At 52.4% G+C, this 17,481-nt stretch overlaps 2 protein-coding genes, 1 long non-coding RNA gene and 3 other non-coding genes across 7 annotated transcripts, besides 14 other annotated features; all 6 read left to right on the top strand.

The window, feature by feature from the left end:
• Positions 91 to 10,141, top strand: SENP3 (SUMO specific peptidase 3). The gene is made up of 11 exons (NM_015670.6): positions 91 to 435; positions 1,238 to 1,963; positions 2,797 to 3,036; positions 3,131 to 3,242; positions 3,612 to 3,759; positions 3,889 to 3,936; positions 5,099 to 5,176; positions 8,528 to 8,665; positions 8,853 to 8,936; positions 9,055 to 9,105; positions 9,545 to 10,141. The coding sequence occupies exons 2-11, from the start codon at positions 1,249 to 1,251 to the stop codon at positions 9,653 to 9,655; spliced, it is 1,725 nt and encodes a 574-aa protein (NP_056485.2). The 5' UTR covers positions 91 to 435; positions 1,238 to 1,248; the 3' UTR covers positions 9,656 to 10,141.
• Positions 155 to 234: a silencer, noted in NCBI's record as "silent region_8128". NCBI's record gives its function as "represses an Ori minimal core promoter by ATAC-STARR-seq in GM12878 lymphoblastoid cells {active_cell/tissue: GM12878}" and the evidence as "EXISTENCE:reporter gene assay evidence [ECO:0000049][PMID:35858748]".
• Positions 164 to 17,178, top strand: SENP3-EIF4A1 (SENP3-EIF4A1 readthrough (NMD candidate)). The gene is made up of 22 exons (NR_037926.1): positions 164 to 435; positions 1,238 to 1,963; positions 2,797 to 3,036; positions 3,131 to 3,242; positions 3,612 to 3,759; positions 3,889 to 3,936; positions 5,099 to 5,176; positions 8,528 to 8,665; positions 8,853 to 8,936; positions 9,055 to 9,105; positions 9,545 to 9,651; positions 10,456 to 11,036; positions 12,432 to 12,480; positions 12,718 to 12,850; positions 13,291 to 13,430; positions 14,696 to 14,864; positions 15,228 to 15,337; positions 15,516 to 15,659; positions 15,741 to 15,878; positions 15,999 to 16,088; positions 16,337 to 16,416; positions 16,514 to 17,178. It is a non-coding gene; the product is annotated as an SENP3-EIF4A1 readthrough (NMD candidate) (long non-coding RNA).
• Positions 861 to 1,557: an enhancer, noted in NCBI's record as "H3K4me1 hESC enhancer chr17:7466006-7466702 (GRCh37/hg19 assembly coordinates)". NCBI's record gives its function as "activates a minimal SCP1, AML or CMV promoter by ChIP-STARR-seq in naive H9 embryonic stem cells {active_cell/tissue: H9 hESC(naive)}" and the evidence as "EXISTENCE:reporter gene assay evidence [ECO:0000049][PMID:30033119]".
• Positions 10,335 to 10,394: an enhancer, noted in NCBI's record as "active region_11629". NCBI's record gives its function as "activates an Ori minimal core promoter by ATAC-STARR-seq in GM12878 lymphoblastoid cells {active_cell/tissue: GM12878}" and the evidence as "EXISTENCE:reporter gene assay evidence [ECO:0000049][PMID:35858748]".
• Positions 10,425 to 10,474: an enhancer, noted in NCBI's record as "active region_11630". NCBI's record gives its function as "activates an Ori minimal core promoter by ATAC-STARR-seq in GM12878 lymphoblastoid cells {active_cell/tissue: GM12878}" and the evidence as "EXISTENCE:reporter gene assay evidence [ECO:0000049][PMID:35858748]".
• Positions 10,495 to 10,554: an enhancer, noted in NCBI's record as "active region_11631". NCBI's record gives its function as "activates an Ori minimal core promoter by ATAC-STARR-seq in GM12878 lymphoblastoid cells {active_cell/tissue: GM12878}" and the evidence as "EXISTENCE:reporter gene assay evidence [ECO:0000049][PMID:35858748]".
• Positions 10,675 to 10,744: an enhancer, noted in NCBI's record as "active region_11632". NCBI's record gives its function as "activates an Ori minimal core promoter by ATAC-STARR-seq in GM12878 lymphoblastoid cells {active_cell/tissue: GM12878}" and the evidence as "EXISTENCE:reporter gene assay evidence [ECO:0000049][PMID:35858748]".
• Positions 10,915 to 10,974: a silencer, noted in NCBI's record as "silent region_8129". NCBI's record gives its function as "represses an Ori minimal core promoter by ATAC-STARR-seq in GM12878 lymphoblastoid cells {active_cell/tissue: GM12878}" and the evidence as "EXISTENCE:reporter gene assay evidence [ECO:0000049][PMID:35858748]".
• Positions 10,985 to 11,044: a silencer, noted in NCBI's record as "silent region_8130". NCBI's record gives its function as "represses an Ori minimal core promoter by ATAC-STARR-seq in GM12878 lymphoblastoid cells {active_cell/tissue: GM12878}" and the evidence as "EXISTENCE:reporter gene assay evidence [ECO:0000049][PMID:35858748]".
• Positions 10,997 to 17,178, top strand: EIF4A1 (eukaryotic translation initiation factor 4A1). Of its 2 annotated transcripts, none has more exons than NM_001416.4 (11): positions 10,997 to 11,036; positions 12,432 to 12,480; positions 12,718 to 12,850; positions 13,291 to 13,430; positions 14,696 to 14,864; positions 15,228 to 15,337; positions 15,516 to 15,659; positions 15,741 to 15,878; positions 15,999 to 16,088; positions 16,337 to 16,416; positions 16,514 to 17,178. In NM_001416.4, exons 1-11 carry the CDS (start codon positions 11,014 to 11,016, stop codon positions 16,656 to 16,658), a joined length of 1,221 nt encoding a protein of 406 aa, NP_001407.1. In that variant the 5' UTR covers positions 10,997 to 11,013; the 3' UTR covers positions 16,659 to 17,178. The 2 variants fall into 2 exon arrangements, with proteins under 2 accessions (NP_001407.1, NP_001191439.1); NM_001204510.2 differs by having other exon boundaries at positions 16,399 to 16,416.
• Positions 11,251 to 12,006: an enhancer, noted in NCBI's record as "NANOG-H3K27ac-H3K4me1 hESC enhancer chr17:7476397-7477152 (GRCh37/hg19 assembly coordinates)". NCBI's record gives its function as "activates a minimal SCP1, AML or CMV promoter by ChIP-STARR-seq in naive and primed H9 embryonic stem cells {active_cell/tissue: H9 hESC(naive and primed)}" and the evidence as "EXISTENCE:reporter gene assay evidence [ECO:0000049][PMID:30033119]".
• Positions 11,945 to 12,084: a silencer, noted in NCBI's record as "silent region_8131". NCBI's record gives its function as "represses an Ori minimal core promoter by ATAC-STARR-seq in GM12878 lymphoblastoid cells {active_cell/tissue: GM12878}" and the evidence as "EXISTENCE:reporter gene assay evidence [ECO:0000049][PMID:35858748]".
• Positions 11,945 to 12,762: a biological region, named in NCBI's record as "H3K27ac hESC enhancer GRCh37_chr17:7477153-7477908".
• Positions 12,007 to 12,762: an enhancer, noted in NCBI's record as "H3K27ac hESC enhancer chr17:7477153-7477908 (GRCh37/hg19 assembly coordinates)". NCBI's record gives its function as "activates a minimal SCP1, AML or CMV promoter by ChIP-STARR-seq in naive H9 embryonic stem cells {active_cell/tissue: H9 hESC(naive)}" and the evidence as "EXISTENCE:reporter gene assay evidence [ECO:0000049][PMID:30033119]".
• Positions 12,225 to 12,354: an enhancer, noted in NCBI's record as "active region_11633". NCBI's record gives its function as "activates an Ori minimal core promoter by ATAC-STARR-seq in GM12878 lymphoblastoid cells {active_cell/tissue: GM12878}" and the evidence as "EXISTENCE:reporter gene assay evidence [ECO:0000049][PMID:35858748]".
• SNORA48 (small nucleolar RNA, H/ACA box 48) lies at positions 12,885 to 13,019 on the top strand. The gene has a single exon (NR_002918.1). It is a non-coding gene; the product is annotated as a small nucleolar RNA, H/ACA box 48 (small nucleolar RNA).
• Positions 14,983 to 15,130, top strand: SNORD10 (small nucleolar RNA, C/D box 10). Its single transcript, NR_002604.2, has one exon. It is a non-coding gene; the product is annotated as a small nucleolar RNA, C/D box 10 (small nucleolar RNA).
• SNORA67 (small nucleolar RNA, H/ACA box 67) lies at positions 16,127 to 16,263 on the top strand. Its single transcript, NR_002912.1, has one exon. It is a non-coding gene; the product is annotated as a small nucleolar RNA, H/ACA box 67 (small nucleolar RNA).
• Positions 16,811 to 16,999: a silencer, noted in NCBI's record as "fragment chr17:7481957-7482145 (GRCh37/hg19 assembly coordinates)". NCBI's record gives its function as "represses an EF-1alpha promoter that drives an FKBP-Casp9 reporter gene in an ReSE screen in K562 erythroleukemia cells {active_cell/tissue: K562}" and the evidence as "EXISTENCE:reporter gene assay evidence [ECO:0000049][PMID:32094911]".

Genomic DNA, 17,481 nt, shown 5'->3' on the forward strand with positions numbered 1-17,481 from the left:
GCGCTCTGGGCTGGCCAGTCCCGTGGCGCCGGCGTCCTCGGGTAGACGGGACCGCGCGCTTGGTGGCCGCGCCGGCGCTCTTCGCCGGGTGTGACGTACTAATCGTGCGCCACCGCTGCCGGTGGGCCCGGGGCTCGCGGGAGGGGAAGGAGGAGGGGGGGAGGAGTGGCGGCGGCGGCGGTGGCGCTGGTGGCGGCGGTGGCGGAGGTGGAGGTGGAGGTGGAAGCTGAAGCTGAAGCAGAGCCAGAGGCGGCGCGGCGGGGTGCTCGGCGGCGCGGCACGCGGCCCAGAAGCGTTGGAATCCTGAATTGAGACGGCTGCGCCTAAAGACAGCAGGAGTGGCGGGGCCGCCGCCGTCGCCGGAGAGATGAGCCGGGAAGCTTGAGGCCGGAGACGCCCGCCTTCGGGCCCGTCCGCCCGGCTTCCCCGCTCCCGGTGAGGACGCCCCCTCCCCTCCCCCCAGCCCTGCCTTGGCCTCTCCCATTCCTGGGCCTCGCTCCCACCGAACCGGGGCCCAGAGGCCCGCATAGGGGCTTCTTAAGGCCCGTGTGCGCCGAGCCATCCAAGCTCGTGGGACCGGACTGGTGCCGGGTTGCATTCTGGTCCCCGAGGATGAAGTAGGAGGGGGCTGGGCCGGCCTGGCTTGTGCGCTCCGTTCTGTCCCAGCGTCTTGATTCGGTTCTCTTTAAGTTTCCTTCAAAGTTCTTCCCCGTTTATCAGCCTCTGCCCCCTGAACCATATCCCTGGCATCTGCACTTGAGATGACCGCAGCCTTCCCATGCCCCCCGTTCATCCAGGGTGTTAGAGAACTGTCTCCCATTCCAGTCCAGTTTCCACGTGCAAGTTGCATTCTCCTCAAGTACCACGGTTATCATGTCCCTGAGGAAAGAAACTGCCCTTGTTGGGCCCTCAAAGGACAGCCCTGGTGGTATTAAAATAAAGACGTAGAACCTGGCAGTGCTATTGGGTTTGGCCTGGTGATCTTAGAAATAAGATCTCTGAGGCCTGCTGCTTAGCCATTTTCCCTTGTCTCTGGACTGGGGAGAGATGATGGCACAGACCCTGAAGGGCCCCTTGTGGACCGCGTTAACCGGGAAGATCTTAAGTTAGGAGTTTTGCGTTTTTTCCTCTTTTCTTTATTTGCATCTGAATCCAGAGGAGGCATGGCCAGGAAGAGAGGCAGGATCTGCGGTGGGGTGATGCTTAGATTTTGATACCCTGATCTTTTGTTTTTCAGGGTACTGGAAGATGAAAGAGACTATACAAGGGACCGGGTCCTGGGGGCCTGAGCCTCCTGGACCCGGCATACCCCCAGCTTACTCAAGTCCCAGGCGGGAGCGTCTTCGTTGGCCCCCACCTCCCAAACCCCGACTCAAGTCAGGTGGAGGGTTTGGGCCAGATCCTGGGTCAGGGACCACAGTGCCAGCCAGACGCCTCCCTGTCCCCCGACCCTCTTTTGATGCCTCAGCAAGTGAAGAGGAGGAAGAAGAGGAGGAGGAGGAGGATGAAGATGAAGAGGAGGAAGTGGCAGCTTGGAGGCTGCCCCCAAGATGGAGTCAGCTGGGAACCTCCCAGCGGCCCCGCCCTTCCCGCCCCACTCATCGAAAAACCTGCTCACAGCGCCGCCGCCGAGCCATGAGAGCCTTCCGGATGCTGCTCTACTCAAAAAGCACCTCGCTGACATTCCACTGGAAGCTTTGGGGGCGCCACCGGGGCCGGCGGCGGGGCCTCGCACACCCCAAGAACCATCTTTCACCCCAGCAAGGGGGTGCGACGCCACAGGTGCCATCCCCCTGTTGTCGTTTTGACTCCCCCCGGGGGCCACCTCCACCCCGGCTGGGTCTGCTAGGTGCTCTCATGGCTGAGGATGGGGTGAGAGGGTCTCCACCAGTGCCCTCTGGGCCCCCCATGGAGGAAGATGGACTCAGGTGGACTCCAAAGTCTCCTCTGGACCCTGACTCGGGTAAGGTGGGAAAGGGGTGTGGGGTTGCGGGGGAGGGGTTAGGGAGGGTTAAGAGCCTGGAGCACCAGGAGCCTGTTGCCATGGTGAGAGCTGGGCTTAAGGAAAGTAGGATGGAAGAGTGCCGGCTCCAGAAGAGCTGCGAAATGTCTCCATTAAGCCCCACTTTGAGCAGAAAGTAAGCCTGGGAGTGAGCCTGGCAGTTTCCCAGGCAGAGCTAGGAAACAGATGCCCTAAGTAGGTATCCCGTGGTCTTGAGCGCAGATGAGAAAGGGAGATGTGGTTTACAAAAATCCTGTCCACACGAAATCCCTTGTCGGCCTCTCAGTATAAGAACCCCCGTGTATACATCTCCAGAGGGTACCATTCCCAAAGTGACGGGATGGGATCTCTCCCAGTAGTGGAGTACATCATCTTACAGTTGTGAAAGAATATTTCCCTTTCGGAGAACTCCAGCCAAACAGTTTCAGGCTCTCTAGGTCTTTATTACATATTCTAGTATTCATTGAGCCTTTACAATATGCTGGGTACTATGCTGGGTGTTTGGCATATAGTGGTGACAAATATCCCGAAGTTTTCATTTCTAAATGCTAATCCTTTTTCTTTCTTCCTGTCTATGAGTAGGAACTCTCTCTCCATCCCTGTAGAATCTCTTGGACATGTTTATCTCATGCTTATGGGGTCCCCATTTCTTGGAGTGGGATTGACATTGGTGGATTCTGCTTCAGTGTATCCTTCTTGCGGTCTTATTTGCATGCATGAGTCAACTGTGTGCATCCCATTGTGCTTTCCCCAGGCCAGTCTCTCATGCCCATTCCATTTCCCCTGCCCTATAGGCCTCCTTTCATGTACTCTGCCCAACGGTTTTGGGGGACAATCTGGGCCAGAAGGGGAGCGCAGCTTGGCACCCCCTGATGCCAGCATCCTCATCAGCAATGTGTGCAGCATCGGGGACCATGTGGCCCAGGAGCTTTTTCAGGGCTCAGATTTGGGCATGGCAGAAGAGGCAGAGAGGCCTGGGGAGAAAGCCGGCCAGCACAGCCCCCTGCGAGAGGAGCATGTGACCTGCGTACAGAGTAAGGAGCCCTTAAGCAACTAGCCTCTCTCCCTTCTCCGACTCCTAGAGGAGAGTCTGGAGGCCTCACCCCCTCCTCTCTCCCTTTCCACCAGGCATCTTGGACGAATTCCTTCAAACGTATGGCAGCCTCATACCCCTCAGCACTGATGAGGTAGTAGAGAAGCTGGAGGACATTTTCCAGCAGGAGTTTTCCACCCCTTCCAGGTGAGGCTTGAAAGCCCTCCTTGAAAGAAGGGCTGGGGCCTTGGGGATGTGGAGAGAATACTGCTGCCTTTTCTTCCATAGGGCTGTAGTTGGGGAGGAGGAAGCTAGAGCTGAAGGGGAGGACTCTGCAGGCAGGTGCCAAATCCTTGGAAGCTGATGGGAGAGTCTTTACCTGGGACCCTGAAATGTTCTACCTGAGTAGTCATGTTTATCTTTCTGGGGAGTGGGCCTTTCGCAGGTCCTCAGAAGGACCCATCATGAGCCAGAAAAAAGGGAGTCAGTTAGAATTTGTATTCCAGGGAGTAGTAGGTATTTCTGTGTGCCCCAGCTGCATCATCTTTTGTGTGACTCCACCCTTGGCCTACTCAGGAAGGGCCTGGTGTTGCAGCTGATCCAGTCTTACCAGCGGATGCCAGGCAATGCCATGGTGAGGGGCTTCCGAGTGGCTTATAAGCGGCACGTGCTGACCATGGATGACTTGGGGACCTTGTATGGACAGAACTGGCTCAATGACCAGGTGAGAAAGGGTAGAGAAACAGGCCTGAGAGGGGATTCAGGGAGCAGGGTGTCTGGGGCCCTCTGCATGGGGGAGCCCTGTACCCATGCCGCACCCTCCATGGCAAGCTGCCTCCCATCTTCTCCCCAGGTGATGAACATGTATGGAGACCTGGTCATGGACACAGTCCCTGAAAAGGTAGGCCCAACCAGATAGGTCAGTACCCAGAGGAACTTCTGCAGTTTTAAGCAGCTTTTTAAGCTCCTTTCATCTCTTTCATTTTACACAGAGAGGGTCTCTGTTTCAGGGAGAGAGGTGGTAGTGGTAGTGTATTAATTTCAAATCCGTAATCTTGGGCTCTGGATTTATCAGTTGTTTTCCTTTCTGCCAGTATTTAGTGTTTTTCGCTATGGCCAGCCCCAAGGATTGGGATGGGTTCCTATTGTAACTATTGTAAAACAAGATTTAAAAAAAAAAAGAAAAAGAAAAAGGCCACCGGGCATGGTAGCTCATGCCTGTAATCCCAGCACTCTGGGAGACCAGGGCGGGTGGATCACCTGAGGTCGGGAGTTCAAGACCAGCCTGACCAATATGGAGAAATCCCGTCTCTACTAAAAATACAAAATTAGCCGGGCATGGTGGTGCATGCCTATAATCCCAGTTACTCGGGAGGCTGAGGGAGGAGAACTGCTTGAACCCGTGAGGCGGAGGTTGCGGTGAGTCGAGATCCACGCCATTGCACTCCCGCCTGGGCAACAAGAGCGGAATTCTGTCTCAAAAAAAAAAAAAAAGACAAAAAACAACTTCGGCTGGGTGCGGTGACTCATTCCTGTAATCCCAGCACTTTGGGAGGCCAAGGCGGGTGGATCACCCGAGGTCAGGAGTTCCAGACCAGCCTGGCCAACATGGTGAAACCCTGGCTCAACTAAAAATATAAAAATACAAAAAAGTTAGCTGGGCATAGTGGCGGGTACCTGTAGTCCCAGCTACTCGGGAGGCTGAGGCGGGAGAATCGCTTGAACCCGGGAGGCGGAGGTTGCAGCGAGTCGAAATCATGCCACTGCACTCCAGCGTGGGCGACAGAGCAAGGCCCTGCCTCAAATAAAAAAAAAAAAAAAGCCTGGTTTGTTGACTCATACCTATAATCTCAATGCTCTGGAAGGCCGAGGCAGGCAGACAGACAGATTGAGGCCAGGAGTTTGAGACCAACCTGGGCAACATAGTGAGACCCTGTCTCTACCAAAAAAAAAAGAAAAAACCCAGAATTTGTTTTTACTGTCAGTGGACTGAGGAGGGGAGACTTAGTGGGAGAGTCTGAGGTCTTTTAATTCCATTGAGCTTTTTTGTGTCATTGGCACAGGTGCATTTCTTCAATAGTTTCTTCTATGATAAACTCCGTACCAAGGGTTATGATGGGGTGAAAAGGTGGACCAAAAACGTGAGTTTTGAATTCACATCCACTTGTGTAATGCCTTGCCTCTAAAGAATGAGAGTCTTGTTTTCTCTGAGCCCTTTCCCTGACCGTGTTCATTCAGTCTTTCAAAGATTAAACGTCTCTTGTGTGTGTAGGCACTAAGGATACAGTGTTAAATAAGGAAAACTTGCCCTTAAAGTTAAATTGCAGCTAGTGATAAGTGCTGTGGGCAGATCAACACAGAGTAACGTGAGGCTGGGCGCAGTGGCTCACGCCTGTAATCCCCAGCACTTTGGGAGGCCAACACGGGCGGATCACCTGAGGTCAGGAGTTCGAGACTAGCCTGGCCAACATTGAGAAACCCCATCTCTATTAAAAATACAAAAATTAGCCCTGTGTGATGGCAGGTGGCCTGTAAGCCCAGCTATTCCTGGAGGCGGAGGCAGGAGAATCCCATGAACCTGGGAGGCAGAGGTTGCAGTGAGCCGAGACCCCGCCATTGCACTCCAGCCTGGGCAACAAGAGCAAAACTCCGTCTCAAAAAAAAAAAAAAATCACAGTAATGTCATAGCGTGGGAAGTGGGTACTTTAGATTGGGTGATCTAGGAAGGCCTCTCATAGCTGAGACGTGAATGATGAGCAGCCAGCCATGCGCAGACCTGGGAATAGCAAGTACACAAGACCCATAGTGAAAAACCATGGCTGAGGAACAGAGGGCTTGTGGGGGTGACCTGTGTAGTTGGCGCAGAGTGAGCAAAGGGAGATGGATACAAAATTCGGTCAGAGAGTAGATCATGTAAGACATGTACGGTAGGCTGAGGAGGGGGGATTTTATTGCGTGTATACTGAGAAGCCATTGAGTTTTAAGCAGGCTGAGAAGTGCCTTCTGTTTTAAACTCCTGTTTCAATGACAGATTGAAAGGGGGGCAAGAATGGAAGCAGGAACAGAGCACAGTAGTCCAGGTGAGAAACTTGAACTGGAGTGCTAAAGGAAGAGAGAGAGAGTAGTTTTATGTAGGATAAATTTTACGAGTAAAACCAGTAGGACTGACAGGCTCTGTGATACTGAGAGATACATATTTGGTCTCCTGACCAGGCTCCTGGCATTCAACTTCTAAAATCCTTGGAATCTCCAGTGATGTGTGTTTTTGTGTGCTGATGAGTTGATTCATGGCTAGCCCCTCTAGGTGGCTTCATGATTAGAGGGTTGGAACTTTCAGCCTCACCCCCACCAACTTCCTGGGAGGGGAATGGGGCCAAAGGTTAAGGCAATCACTGAGGATCAGTGATTTAATCAGTCATGCCTAGTAGTGAAGCCTCTAAAAACCGGAAAGGGGCCGGGTGCGGCGGCTCACGCCTGTACTCCCGGCACTTTGGGAGGCTGAGGCAGATGGATCGCAAGGTCAAGAGATTGAGACCAGCCTGGCCGACCTGGCGAAACCCTGTCTCTACTAAAAATATGAAAATTAGCTGGGCGTGGTGGCGTGCGCCTGTAGTCCCCGGGAGGCTGAGGCAGGAGAATCGCTTGAACCCGGGAGGCAGAGGTTGCAGTGAGCCGAGATTGTGCCACTGCACTCCACCCTGGGTGACAGAGTGAAACTCTGTCTCAAAAAAGAAAAAAAAACCCGAGAGGAGGAGTTTGGAGACATTCTAGATAGCTGAAGGCATGGAGGCTCCCACAGGATGGTCTCCAGGCCTCTTCCCGGTACCTTTCCCTGTGCATCTTTTCATCTGTACTCTTTGTACTACCCTTTGTTAATAAACTGGTAAATGTGTTTCCATGAGTTCTGTGAGCTGCTCTAGCAAATTAATCAAATTCAAGGAGGGGGTCATGGGAACGCTGATCTAACCAGTTGGTGAGAAACACAGATAAAACAACCTGGGGCTTAGGACTGGCATCAGAATTGGGGGCAGCCTTGTGAGACTGAGCCCTAAACCTGTGACACATTATCTCCAGGTAGATAGTGTTGGAATTGAATTGGGGGATACCCAGCTGTGTCCACCGCAAAATTGCTTGCTTGGTTGTTGGTGGAGAGAAAGCCCCACAAACACTTCTTGGTGACCACAGGTTACAGAAGTATTTTGTGTTGTGAGAGTATAGTAGGAAAGAAGATTTGTTTTTTTGCCGGGCGCGGTGGCTCACGCCTGTAATCCCAGCCCTTTGGGAGGCTGAGGCGGGCGGATCACCAGGTCAGGAGATCAAGACCATCCTGGCTAACACAGTGAAACCCTGTCTCTACTAAAAATACAAAAAATTAGCCGGGCGAGGTGGCACGTGTCTGTAGTCCAAGCTACTTGGGAGGCTGAGGCAGGAGAATGGCATGAACCCAGGAGGTGGAGCTTGCAGTGAGGCAAGATCACGCCACTGCACTCCAGTCTGGGCAACAGAGCAAGACTCCGTCTCAAAAAAAAAAAAAAGATTTGTTTTTTCCTCCGCAGGTTGGATGTGGGAAATGAAGAAAAAGAAATGGAGGATGATGCCTAGGTTTTTGGCCTATGTAACGGGAAAAGTGGGAGAGGAACAGGTTGGGGGAGGAAAATGAAGAGTTCTTTTCTCTTCTGGTTTCCCTGCCCTCCCATTCAAAGGCCAGGAAATTTCTACAGCTAGGCAGGATGATTGGCTCCGGCATTCCTTAATTTCAGTCCTCAAAATCAAGAGCTTACACCCTCAGGGATCTTCTTGCAGTAGAGGGAAGGGTGGTGACGTACAGTGAAAAACATGTTGGCCTTCTTCATACTGAGTTTGAGTCCCACTTCTGCCATTTCTTTCTTTCATGACCTTGTGCAAGTCACGACTTTCCAAGCTGCAATTTCCTCATCTGTTAGGTTGAATGTTGAGAACTTCCCGGTAGGATTGTTATGAGCATTAACTGCGTGTTTACTTTGTGCTGTGTCTTGTTCTAAGTGTATTATGGATAGTCACTAGTTTAATCCTCATATCAAATGGATGAGGTGTAGGTACTACTATTTACACTCTCTGACAGATAAGGAAACTGAGGTATAGAAGGTTATTAAGTAGGTTGCCCACTGTCATAAGCCAGTAAATGGAGGAGCTGTATTTGAATTCTGGCAGGCTCCAGAATCCTGGGCCTGGGTTCTTAGCTGCTAAGTGCTTCTCCCTTTAAAGTGTGAAAAGCGCCTGCCCATCATGGGTTCTCCAGTGTTCGTTCTGATGTCTCCTCCATTGTCTGACCTTCCTCCCTTACCCCGAAGAACCGAAACATGCAGATCCTGAGCTTGCCCACAATCTAGGCCTTGGGTCTTCTGTTCTTTCACTTGGTTCCCTTACCTGTGTCTCTGTTCCTCTCTAGAACCTTCATGGCAAAAGGCAAGACTTCTGTTTGTTGTACCTGACCTGTGGCACTATCTCTTTAGGTGGACATCTTCAATAAGGAGCTACTGCTAATCCCCATCCACCTGGAGGTGCATTGGTCCCTCATCTCTGTTGATGTGAGGCGACGCACCATCACCTATTTTGACTCGCAGCGTACCCTAAACCGCCGCTGCCCTAAGGTTTGAGGGGGTAGGAGAGAGATGGGCAAAATGTGGGGCGGTGCAGTGGCAAGGCATTGCAGGAAGAAGGGTGGGCTTTGGGTCTTTGAGGGGCGACCTGGGCATGGTGTCTGCCAGCACTGTACCCACCATACTGTGTTCAATTGAGAAACTTAGGGCATCACTTTCTTTTCCCCCATCCACATAGCATATTGCCAAGTATCTACAGGCAGAGGCGGTAAAGAAAGACCGACTGGATTTCCACCAGGGCTGGAAAGGTTACTTCAAAATGGTGAGTTTCCTGAGGGAGGGGTATAGGGTGTTGGTGGGGACAGTGGTAGAAGGCAGAAATTGAAGTCCTACCCCTGGGAGTCTCCATGTGAAGGGCCTGCTTTCTTTCTCTTCTCTAGAATGTGGCCAGGCAGAATAATGACAGTGACTGTGGTGCTTTTGTGTTGCAGGTAAGCAGATGATGGGGCCACCTCCCCTAGCTCTGAAGTCAGTTGGGTTAAAGGGTCGGGAGGCTGTTATGCATCCCCTCATTTGGCTCATAGTCAGTTGTGGAGCAGGAAGTAATCTGTTTTAGAACACCAAAACACTGGCTTCACTGGTTCTCTTCTGGACTTCTCCATCCCACATTGGGACTGGGTCTCTAGTCTTGGGCCTCTGGCCTTCATAGAGCTCCCTGCTAACCTCCAACTCAGTGTATTTTCTCCATCTAAAACATTCTATCAAGTAAGAACACTAGCTTTAGAGTCAGGCTGTTTTTGAACCCCAGGCTGTGGGACCCTGGCTCCCTTTGGGGATGTTCTCTGAAGGATGGAGACACATCTCATATGAAATGTGTAGCACAGGTCCTGACACGGGGGGTTTCTCATGGCTTGCTTTGTTAACACCCAGTACTGCAAGCATCTGGCCCTGTCTCAGCCATTCAGCTTCACCCAGCAGGACATGCCCAAACTTCGTCGGCAGATCTACAAGGAGCTGTGTCACTGCAAACTCACTGTGTGAGCCTCGTACCCCAGACCCCAAGCCCATAAATGGGAAGGGAGACATGGGAGTCCCTTCCCAAGAAACTCCAGTTCCTTTCCTCTCTTGCCTCTTCCCACTCACTTCCCTTTGGTTTTTCATATTTAAATGTTTCAATTTCTGTATTTTTTTTTCTTTGAGAGAATACTTGTTGATTTCTGATGTGCAGGGGGTGGCTACAGAAAAGCCCCTTTCTTCCTCTGTTTGCAGGGGAGTGTGGCCCTGTGGCCTGGGTGGAGCAGTCATCCTCCCCCTTCCCCGTGCAGGGAGCAGGAAATCAGTGCTGGGGGTGGTGGGCGGACAATAGGATCACTGCCTGCCAGATCTTCAAACTTTTATATATATATATATATATATATATATATATATATATATATATATATATATATATATATATATATATATATAAAAATATATAAATGCCACGGTCCTGCTCTGGTCAATAAAGGATCCTTTGTTGATACGTAAGTGGTGGTCTTCCTTAAGGGGCTTCAAATTAGTGGATATGCTTAGCTCAGACCTTCCAGCCAGTCTCTTGAGACTAAAGGGTTCAGCTTTCCATCCCTGGCTCAGGCACTGCCAACACCTTGTCTTCACCCAAACAAATCCCCGAGATGGGAGCAGAGAGCAGGAAGGAGGGAAAGTAGATAAGCCTCAAGAATAAGGGCATCCGAGAGGGAAGCTGGGGAACTGGACACAAGGGACTGGGGAGGGGACCAACCAGGATTCATGATAGTACCCCAAAGCCCTTTACAGTTTTCTTCCATCCCTCCACCATCCAGCCAGGGGAATCCTCCCATCCCTACGATATCGCTGTTGATTCCTTCATCCCTGGCACACGTCCAGGCAGTGTCGAATCCATCTCTGCTACAGGGGAAAACAAATAACATTTGAGTCCAGTGGAGACCGGGAGCAGAAGTAAAGGGAAGTGATAACCCCCAGAGCCCGGAAGCCTCTGGAGGCTGAGACCTCGCCCCCCTTGCGTGATAGGGCCTACGGAGCCACATGACCAAGGCACTGTCGCCTCCGCACGTGTGAGAGTGCAGGGCCCCAAGATGGCTGCCAGGCCTCGAGGCCTGACTCTTCTATGTCACTTCCGTACCGGCGAGAAAGGCGGGCCCTCCAGCCAATGAGGCTGCGGGGCGGGCCTTCACCTTGATAGGCACTCGAGTTATCCAATGGTGCCTGCGGGCCGGAGCGACTAGGAACTAACGTCATGCCGAGTTGCTGAGCGCCGGCAGGCGGGGCCGGGGCGGCCAAACCAATGCGATGGCCGGGGCGGAGTCGGGCGCTCTATAAGTTGTCGATAGGCGGGCACTCCGCCCTAGTTTCTAAGGATCATGTCTGCGAGCCAGGATTCCCGGTAAGAAAGGCATTTGCAAGAGATTGTGGCTGCTTATTTTGCCGCCCCCTTCCGACGGGCCCGCCGGGGGTAGCTGAGAGGCCCACCAGGGTTGCGGGAGAAACCGAACCGGGTGGGGGGAGGGTCCGACTTGGAGGGGCGAGGGGGAAGACCCACGGCCGACGCGGCCACCAGGTCGAGGCGGAGGGTAGGGACAGCCCGGCTAGGGTCAGGCGTGCGAGGTCTGTTACGAGGCCTCGACCCGAGGCGGTGCCATGCGCGAAGCCCCGGCGCTGAGTGGCGAGACGGGGTCGCGACCTGGCGTGGGAAAGAAAGGTGGAGGCGGCCGCCACTATGTGTGGCCCAGAGCCGGCAGGTCCGGTTGCCTCCCTGTGCCGGGGGAGGGACGGCGCGCGGGGTTCCGGAGCATTCTGACGGTACCACTCGCGAGAGGCGGGGGTGCCTGGTCCTTAGATCCAGTCACTTCGTCGCGGCTAAAACACGGGTCGGGGAGAAGAAACCGGCCGTTCAGTGTGCTGGTTTTCTTGACGGCCAGGACTGAGCCTAACCCCGAGGAGCGGCCGCGTGAGGCACCAGGAGCCCACCCGGCGCCGGGCGGGCGGGTCCATTTTGCCGCACAAGCCGGGCTATTGGCAAACTGCGGATGGGCAGGTCCACCTTCCTTCGGGGGTGAGCGGCCTGAGGTATGGGAGGGCGACGCTACTTCGCGACGGGGGCGGGCGGGATGTGGATTGTTCATGGAGGGGTGGGAGACGCCGCCGGGTGGTCGAGGGAGCGAGCACATGGTGGCCTGAGGCGTTCCCCTCCCCCAGTCTGCTTCGCTTCTAAGTGTTGTGCAATCTCCCCCTTTGCTAGCTCGGCTTGGGCTCATTGTGCGCGAGGCCGCCACCGCCCGCGGCCTCCCACATCCGGGCAACGCGAGGGGGGGGCTTCGGCTGGAGGGAGTGGGGGAGGGCGCGGGCGGGATGACGTGGGGGGAAGGGGATGTCCTACCCTCCGATCTGGGAGGTGAAGGGCGGGACTTCCAGCGCGCTGGTGCTGCGGTGGGAGGTGCACGCGCTTGGGCTTTAAGCGGCTGGGTCGGGCCCACGTGGACCCGGCGGCAAGCACCACCTCTGGGCACCGTGAGCGCGGCGGCACGCCTGCCGGCCTGTCTTCAGAAAGGGTCACCCCCTTATGTCGGGGGTGGCCTGGCCTGAGCCGCTGCCTGCATGGGGCAAATGCCTCAGTTTTATAGAAACTCCTCCTTTGGGTATTTTTTGGGAGCTGGTGGGAGTTGGATCTGGGACAGCAGATTGATGGCATCATGCAGGCCACTCCTGACAGAGCCCGGCTGTCAGGATTTCTGAGTGCTTCGGTCGGGCAGGGGACAAAACTTATGCTTTAAACCAACAGATCCAGAGACAATGGCCCCGATGGGATGGAGCCCGAAGGCGTCATCGAGGTGAGACTGGAGAAATGGAATTCTGTCCTCCCCCATTACAACTTTCAGCCGTATAGAGTTAGAGTGGCCTCTTGATTGATTTCCCAGATCATCTAGAAGCAGCTGGTTTCCCTAAAGGGAGGAGGGTTGTAAGCTCTGAGGCTTTTGTTAGTAGGCACCAGATTCTGTTTGCTCGGAGACTACAGCTCAGCTCCACCTTTTCCATGACTCAAGCTTTAATTTCTTTGCATCCCCTAGAGTAACTGGAATGAGATTGTTGACAGCTTTGATGACATGAACCTCTCGGAGTCCCTTCTCCGTGGCATCTACGCGTATGGTTTTGAGAAGCCCTCTGCCATCCAGCAGCGAGCCATTCTACCTTGTATCAAGGGTGAGACCTCTCAGTCCCAGAAGACATTGTGGACTGTCCCTGACCTGGGTAGAGTGGCATCTGGTTGGTGATGCCCATCTCATATCAGCCAGGGACAAAGCAACTCCTTGTTCATCCCAGCTTGGCTTTTGATCCGTGCCCATGCCTGGTTCATGCCTTGGACACATAGGTTTCCTTTAAAGAGGTGGTATTGTAGCCAGCTTATATTTGCATCTACAGCCATGTTTCTAGTCCAGCTTGGTGTGCAATACTAGATGAGTTAATAACTGGTCCTTGTTTCTGATCTGGTTCCCATTGTGTAACTGTGTTGATTGGGAAGGTAGTTTGTGAGCCATGAAATGCTTGGTTCATTGGTTGCTTATTGACCTCATTAACCTAGGACTTGAATATCCCAAAGGGTATGCTCTTTACCACATTCAACTCCTAATTTATTTGTTTAGGTTATGATGTGATTGCTCAAGCCCAATCTGGGACTGGGAAAACGGCCACATTTGCCATATCGATTCTGCAGCAGATTGAATTAGATCTAAAAGCCACCCAGGCCTTGGTCCTAGCACCCACTCGAGAATTGGCTCAGCAGGTAAGAGTGGCTTCTATTCCCTCCTTCAGGGCTGATTTAGGGATGATGAGTATAATCCAAGGACCAGAGAAGTCTTCTCTGATCACCACCTTGGGAGGAAGACATGGGTGCCCTAACACTCTCGAGACCTGCTGGGTTAATTAAAAGCTATTTCTTACCCAAACGTAACCATTGCTTCCTCCACCCATTTCCTGAGTCAAATGGGAAAGCTGTTGGGTGAAGCCTGGCTGGCTGGGCAAGTTTGACTGTGTTCTGAATAAGCACCTTCACTATGGGCTAAGAGATCCCTTGGTGTGGGGGTGATCTTACAGTAGTCAGAGCAGATGGACAGTCCTTTTCACCCTTGCTTAATAGCCAGAGCTGTTTCATGCCTGGGGCACACACAATTCTAATGCTGGACTTTTTCCTGGGTCATGCTGCAACACTGATGTCAGAGCATGTTTTTAAATGTTCTGTGGCAGGGGCAGTGATTATTCTGGGTGTGGATAATGTAAGAAGTTACAGCAGAGCTCCATTCTAAGGCACTTGGCTCTCAGTTTTCTCAGAGTGAACATGCCTCGTAGCTTGGGTCCTATGGCAGGAGTGCAATAGGACATGGATATGCATCACCTGTTCTATAAAACTGGTTGCTGGCTGGGTGTGGTGGCTCAACTCGTATAATCCCAACACTTTGGGAGGCCAAGGCAGGCAGATCTCTTGAGATCAGGAGTTGGAGACCAGCCTGGCCAACATAGTGAAACCCCGCTTCTACTAAAAATACAAAAATTAGCCAGGCATGGTGGCGTGTGCCTTTTATCCCAGCTACTCGGGAAGCTCAGGCAGGAGAATTTAACCCAGGAGGTGGAGGTTGCAGTGAGCTGAGATTGTGCCATTGCACTCCAGCCTGGGCAACGAGCAAAGCTCTGTCTCAAAAAAAGAAAAAAAAAATGGTTGCTGCGTGATGAGGCAGTTGGTCAAATTAGTTTTCAGAAGGTTAAGGGTTCTAAATATCTAGAGTAAAGAAACTGAATTAATTATCTGAGCGGCCTCATTGTGAATCACTGTACACTCAGGAACCAGACTGAGTTGAAATCCTGTCTTTGCCACCTATTGACAGCACGATCTTAAGTGGATTTTAGCCTCTGCCTGTTTCTCAGCTGAATGTGAGTTTAATAATAGTGCATGCCCCAAAGTTGTTGGTTAGGAATCAATACATGAAAAACATTTAAGAATGGTGCCGGGCACAGTGGTAACTGACATATGAGCACCTGCCTCTCTCTGCTCAGATACAGAAGGTGGTCATGGCACTAGGAGACTACATGGGCGCCTCCTGTCACGCCTGTATCGGGGGCACCAACGTGCGTGCTGAGGTGCAGAAACTGCAGATGGAAGCTCCCCACATCATCGTGGGTACCCCTGGCCGTGTGTTTGATATGCTTAACCGGAGATACCTGTGTGAGTAATTCGGTTCTCCAATCCCCTGGGTCACTTTGCTCTTGTGCACGCTTTCCAGTCTTTCAGCGTAAGCCAGAGTCATTCCCAAGGATGCTGGTTTCTCTCTGGGGGAAGAGCTGCTCTGTGATGGAGCCCATGCGTGTCATCTGAGCCTCTGGCTTCCCTGCCAGTGCAGCCCTGGCAGTGTCCTACTTCCCAGGGCTGTTGTCTGCCTGGCGGGAAGGTCCTGGGCAAAGGATCAGTCTTTGTACTCTGAGAGCAGACTACTTGGCTCCTCTCTGTTTTTTATCAGCGAAGTTGGATATATCTCTCCCACATTTCCCTAATCATATGCTATATATTGGCTTTTTTTTTCTTCTCTAGCCCCCAAATACATCAAGATGTTTGTACTGGATGAAGCTGACGAAATGTTAAGCCGTGGATTCAAGGACCAGATCTATGACATATTCCAAAAGCTCAACAGCAACACCCAGGTGAGGGCAGTCTTGCTTGAATAGCTAATGATTCTTGAAAAATAGTAAGTGCCAGGGGAACCATATACTGGATTCTTGAGCCTTTTTATGCATCTGCTTCAGTTTTAGGTGTGGCTAGGGAAGGGAGCAGGCCTCAGGAAGGAACCAGCACTCTAAGACTGGCCTTTTTTTCCACTAGGTAGTTTTGCTGTCAGCCACAATGCCTTCTGATGTGCTTGAGGTGACCAAGAAGTTCATGAGGGACCCCATTCGGATTCTTGTCAAGAAGGAAGAGTTGACCCTGGAGGGTATCCGCCAGTTCTACATCAACGTGGAACGAGAGGTGGGGCCCAGTGCAGGAGGCGGGCCTGGTAGTGAGTTGTTGGGTATAGCCCCTGACTGATTTTTGTCCCCCAACCTCCAGGAGTGGAAGCTGGACACACTATGTGACTTGTATGAAACCCTGACCATCACCCAGGCAGTCATCTTCATCAACACCCGGAGGAAGGTGGACTGGCTCACCGAGAAGATGCATGCTCGAGATTTCACTGTATCCGCCATGGTGTGTTTGCCCGCTGCCAGCCTGTTGTGGGTCTGCCCGTCAGAAGTGTCCTACTTGAAGCCAGGGTTCCTGGAACCCAGGTGCCTACCTGGTCTGCTGCATATTTGTTTTCTCTTCCAGCATGGAGATATGGACCAAAAGGAACGAGACGTGATTATGAGGGAGTTTCGTTCTGGCTCTAGCAGAGTTTTGATTACCACTGACCTGCTGGTGAGTAGAGGGAACTGATAGCAAAGGCAGAAGGGAGGATCCAAGGTGATTCCCTCTCCAAGGGGACATCAGTGCCTCTCAGGAAAGTAGCAGCTTGGAATAGAATCTGGCATGCCTAAGGCCTTTGGGGAACTGGGATGCTTATTTCCTCTGCCTTCCTTGGCTGCCCACATGGATGCCTAAGTGTCTTCCCTCCGGGATAGAGTGTCCTCCGTGCACATGCTGAAGAGTTGTCTTTCTTGACGTAGGCCAGAGGCATTGATGTGCAGCAGGTTTCTTTAGTCATCAACTATGACCTTCCCACCAACAGGGAAAACTATATCCACAGGTAAGCGTAGATCTGGAACACTCCCCTACCCCTTCACACCTGGCCCTCCCTGGGCTTAAAGCTCCTGATATTCCTCATCCCCTTCCTTGTTTTCCAGAATCGGTCGAGGTGGACGGTTTGGCCGTAAAGGTGTGGCTATTAACATGGTGACAGAAGAAGACAAGAGGACTCTTCGAGACATTGAGACCTTCTACAACACCTCCATTGAGGAAATGCCCCTCAATGTTGCTGACCTCATCTGAGGGGCTGTCCTGCCACCCAGCCCCAGCCAGGGCTCAATCTCTGGGGGCTGAGGAGCAGCAGGAGGGGGGAGGGAAGGGAGCCAAGGGATGGACATCTTGTCATTTTTTTTCTTTGAATAAATGTCACTTTTTGAGGCAAAAGAAGGAACCGTGAACATTTTAGACACCCTTTTCTTTGGGGTAGGCTCTTGCCCCAGGCGCCGGCTCTTCTCCCAAAAAAAAAAAAAAAACACTAATCCATTTCCCTAACCTAGTAACCTCCAGATCCCAGAGGCTCTCCTCACCTCAGCTGAGCTCCTTTGAAAGTGATTCAAGGGACTATGTCACTCAGCCTCATTTGCTGGACCAAATCTGGAGGGAGAACCCCTAAAACCCCTAAGTGAGGTTGCCCAGGGGGTTGTCCCCAGGTGGGGGGAAGCAGGGGAGAGAAAATGGTAGCCATTTTTACATTGTTTTGTATAGTATTTATTGATTCAGGAAACAAACACAAAATTCTGAATAAAATGACTTGGAAACTGCCTGTTTGGGCTTCTCATTTCTTACCTCCCCTTCCCTCTCCCACCTGCTACTGGGTGCATCTCTGCTCCCCCCTTCCCCAGCAGATGGTTACCTTTGGGCTGTTGCTTTCTTGTCACCATCTGAGTTCTCAGACGCTGGAAAGCCATGTTCTCGGCTCTGTGAATGACAATGCTGACTGGAGTGCTGCCCCTCTGTAAAGGGCTGGGTGTGGATGGTCACAAGCCCCTCACATGCCTCAGCCAAGAGGAAGTAGTACAGGGGTCAGCCCAGAGGTCCAGGGGAAAGGAGTGGAAACCGATTTCCC

Source organism: Homo sapiens, chromosome 17 (assembly GCF_000001405.40).
Source record: "Homo sapiens chromosome 17, GRCh38.p14 Primary Assembly".
NCBI lineage: Eukaryota > Metazoa > Chordata > Mammalia > Primates > Hominidae > Homo > Homo sapiens.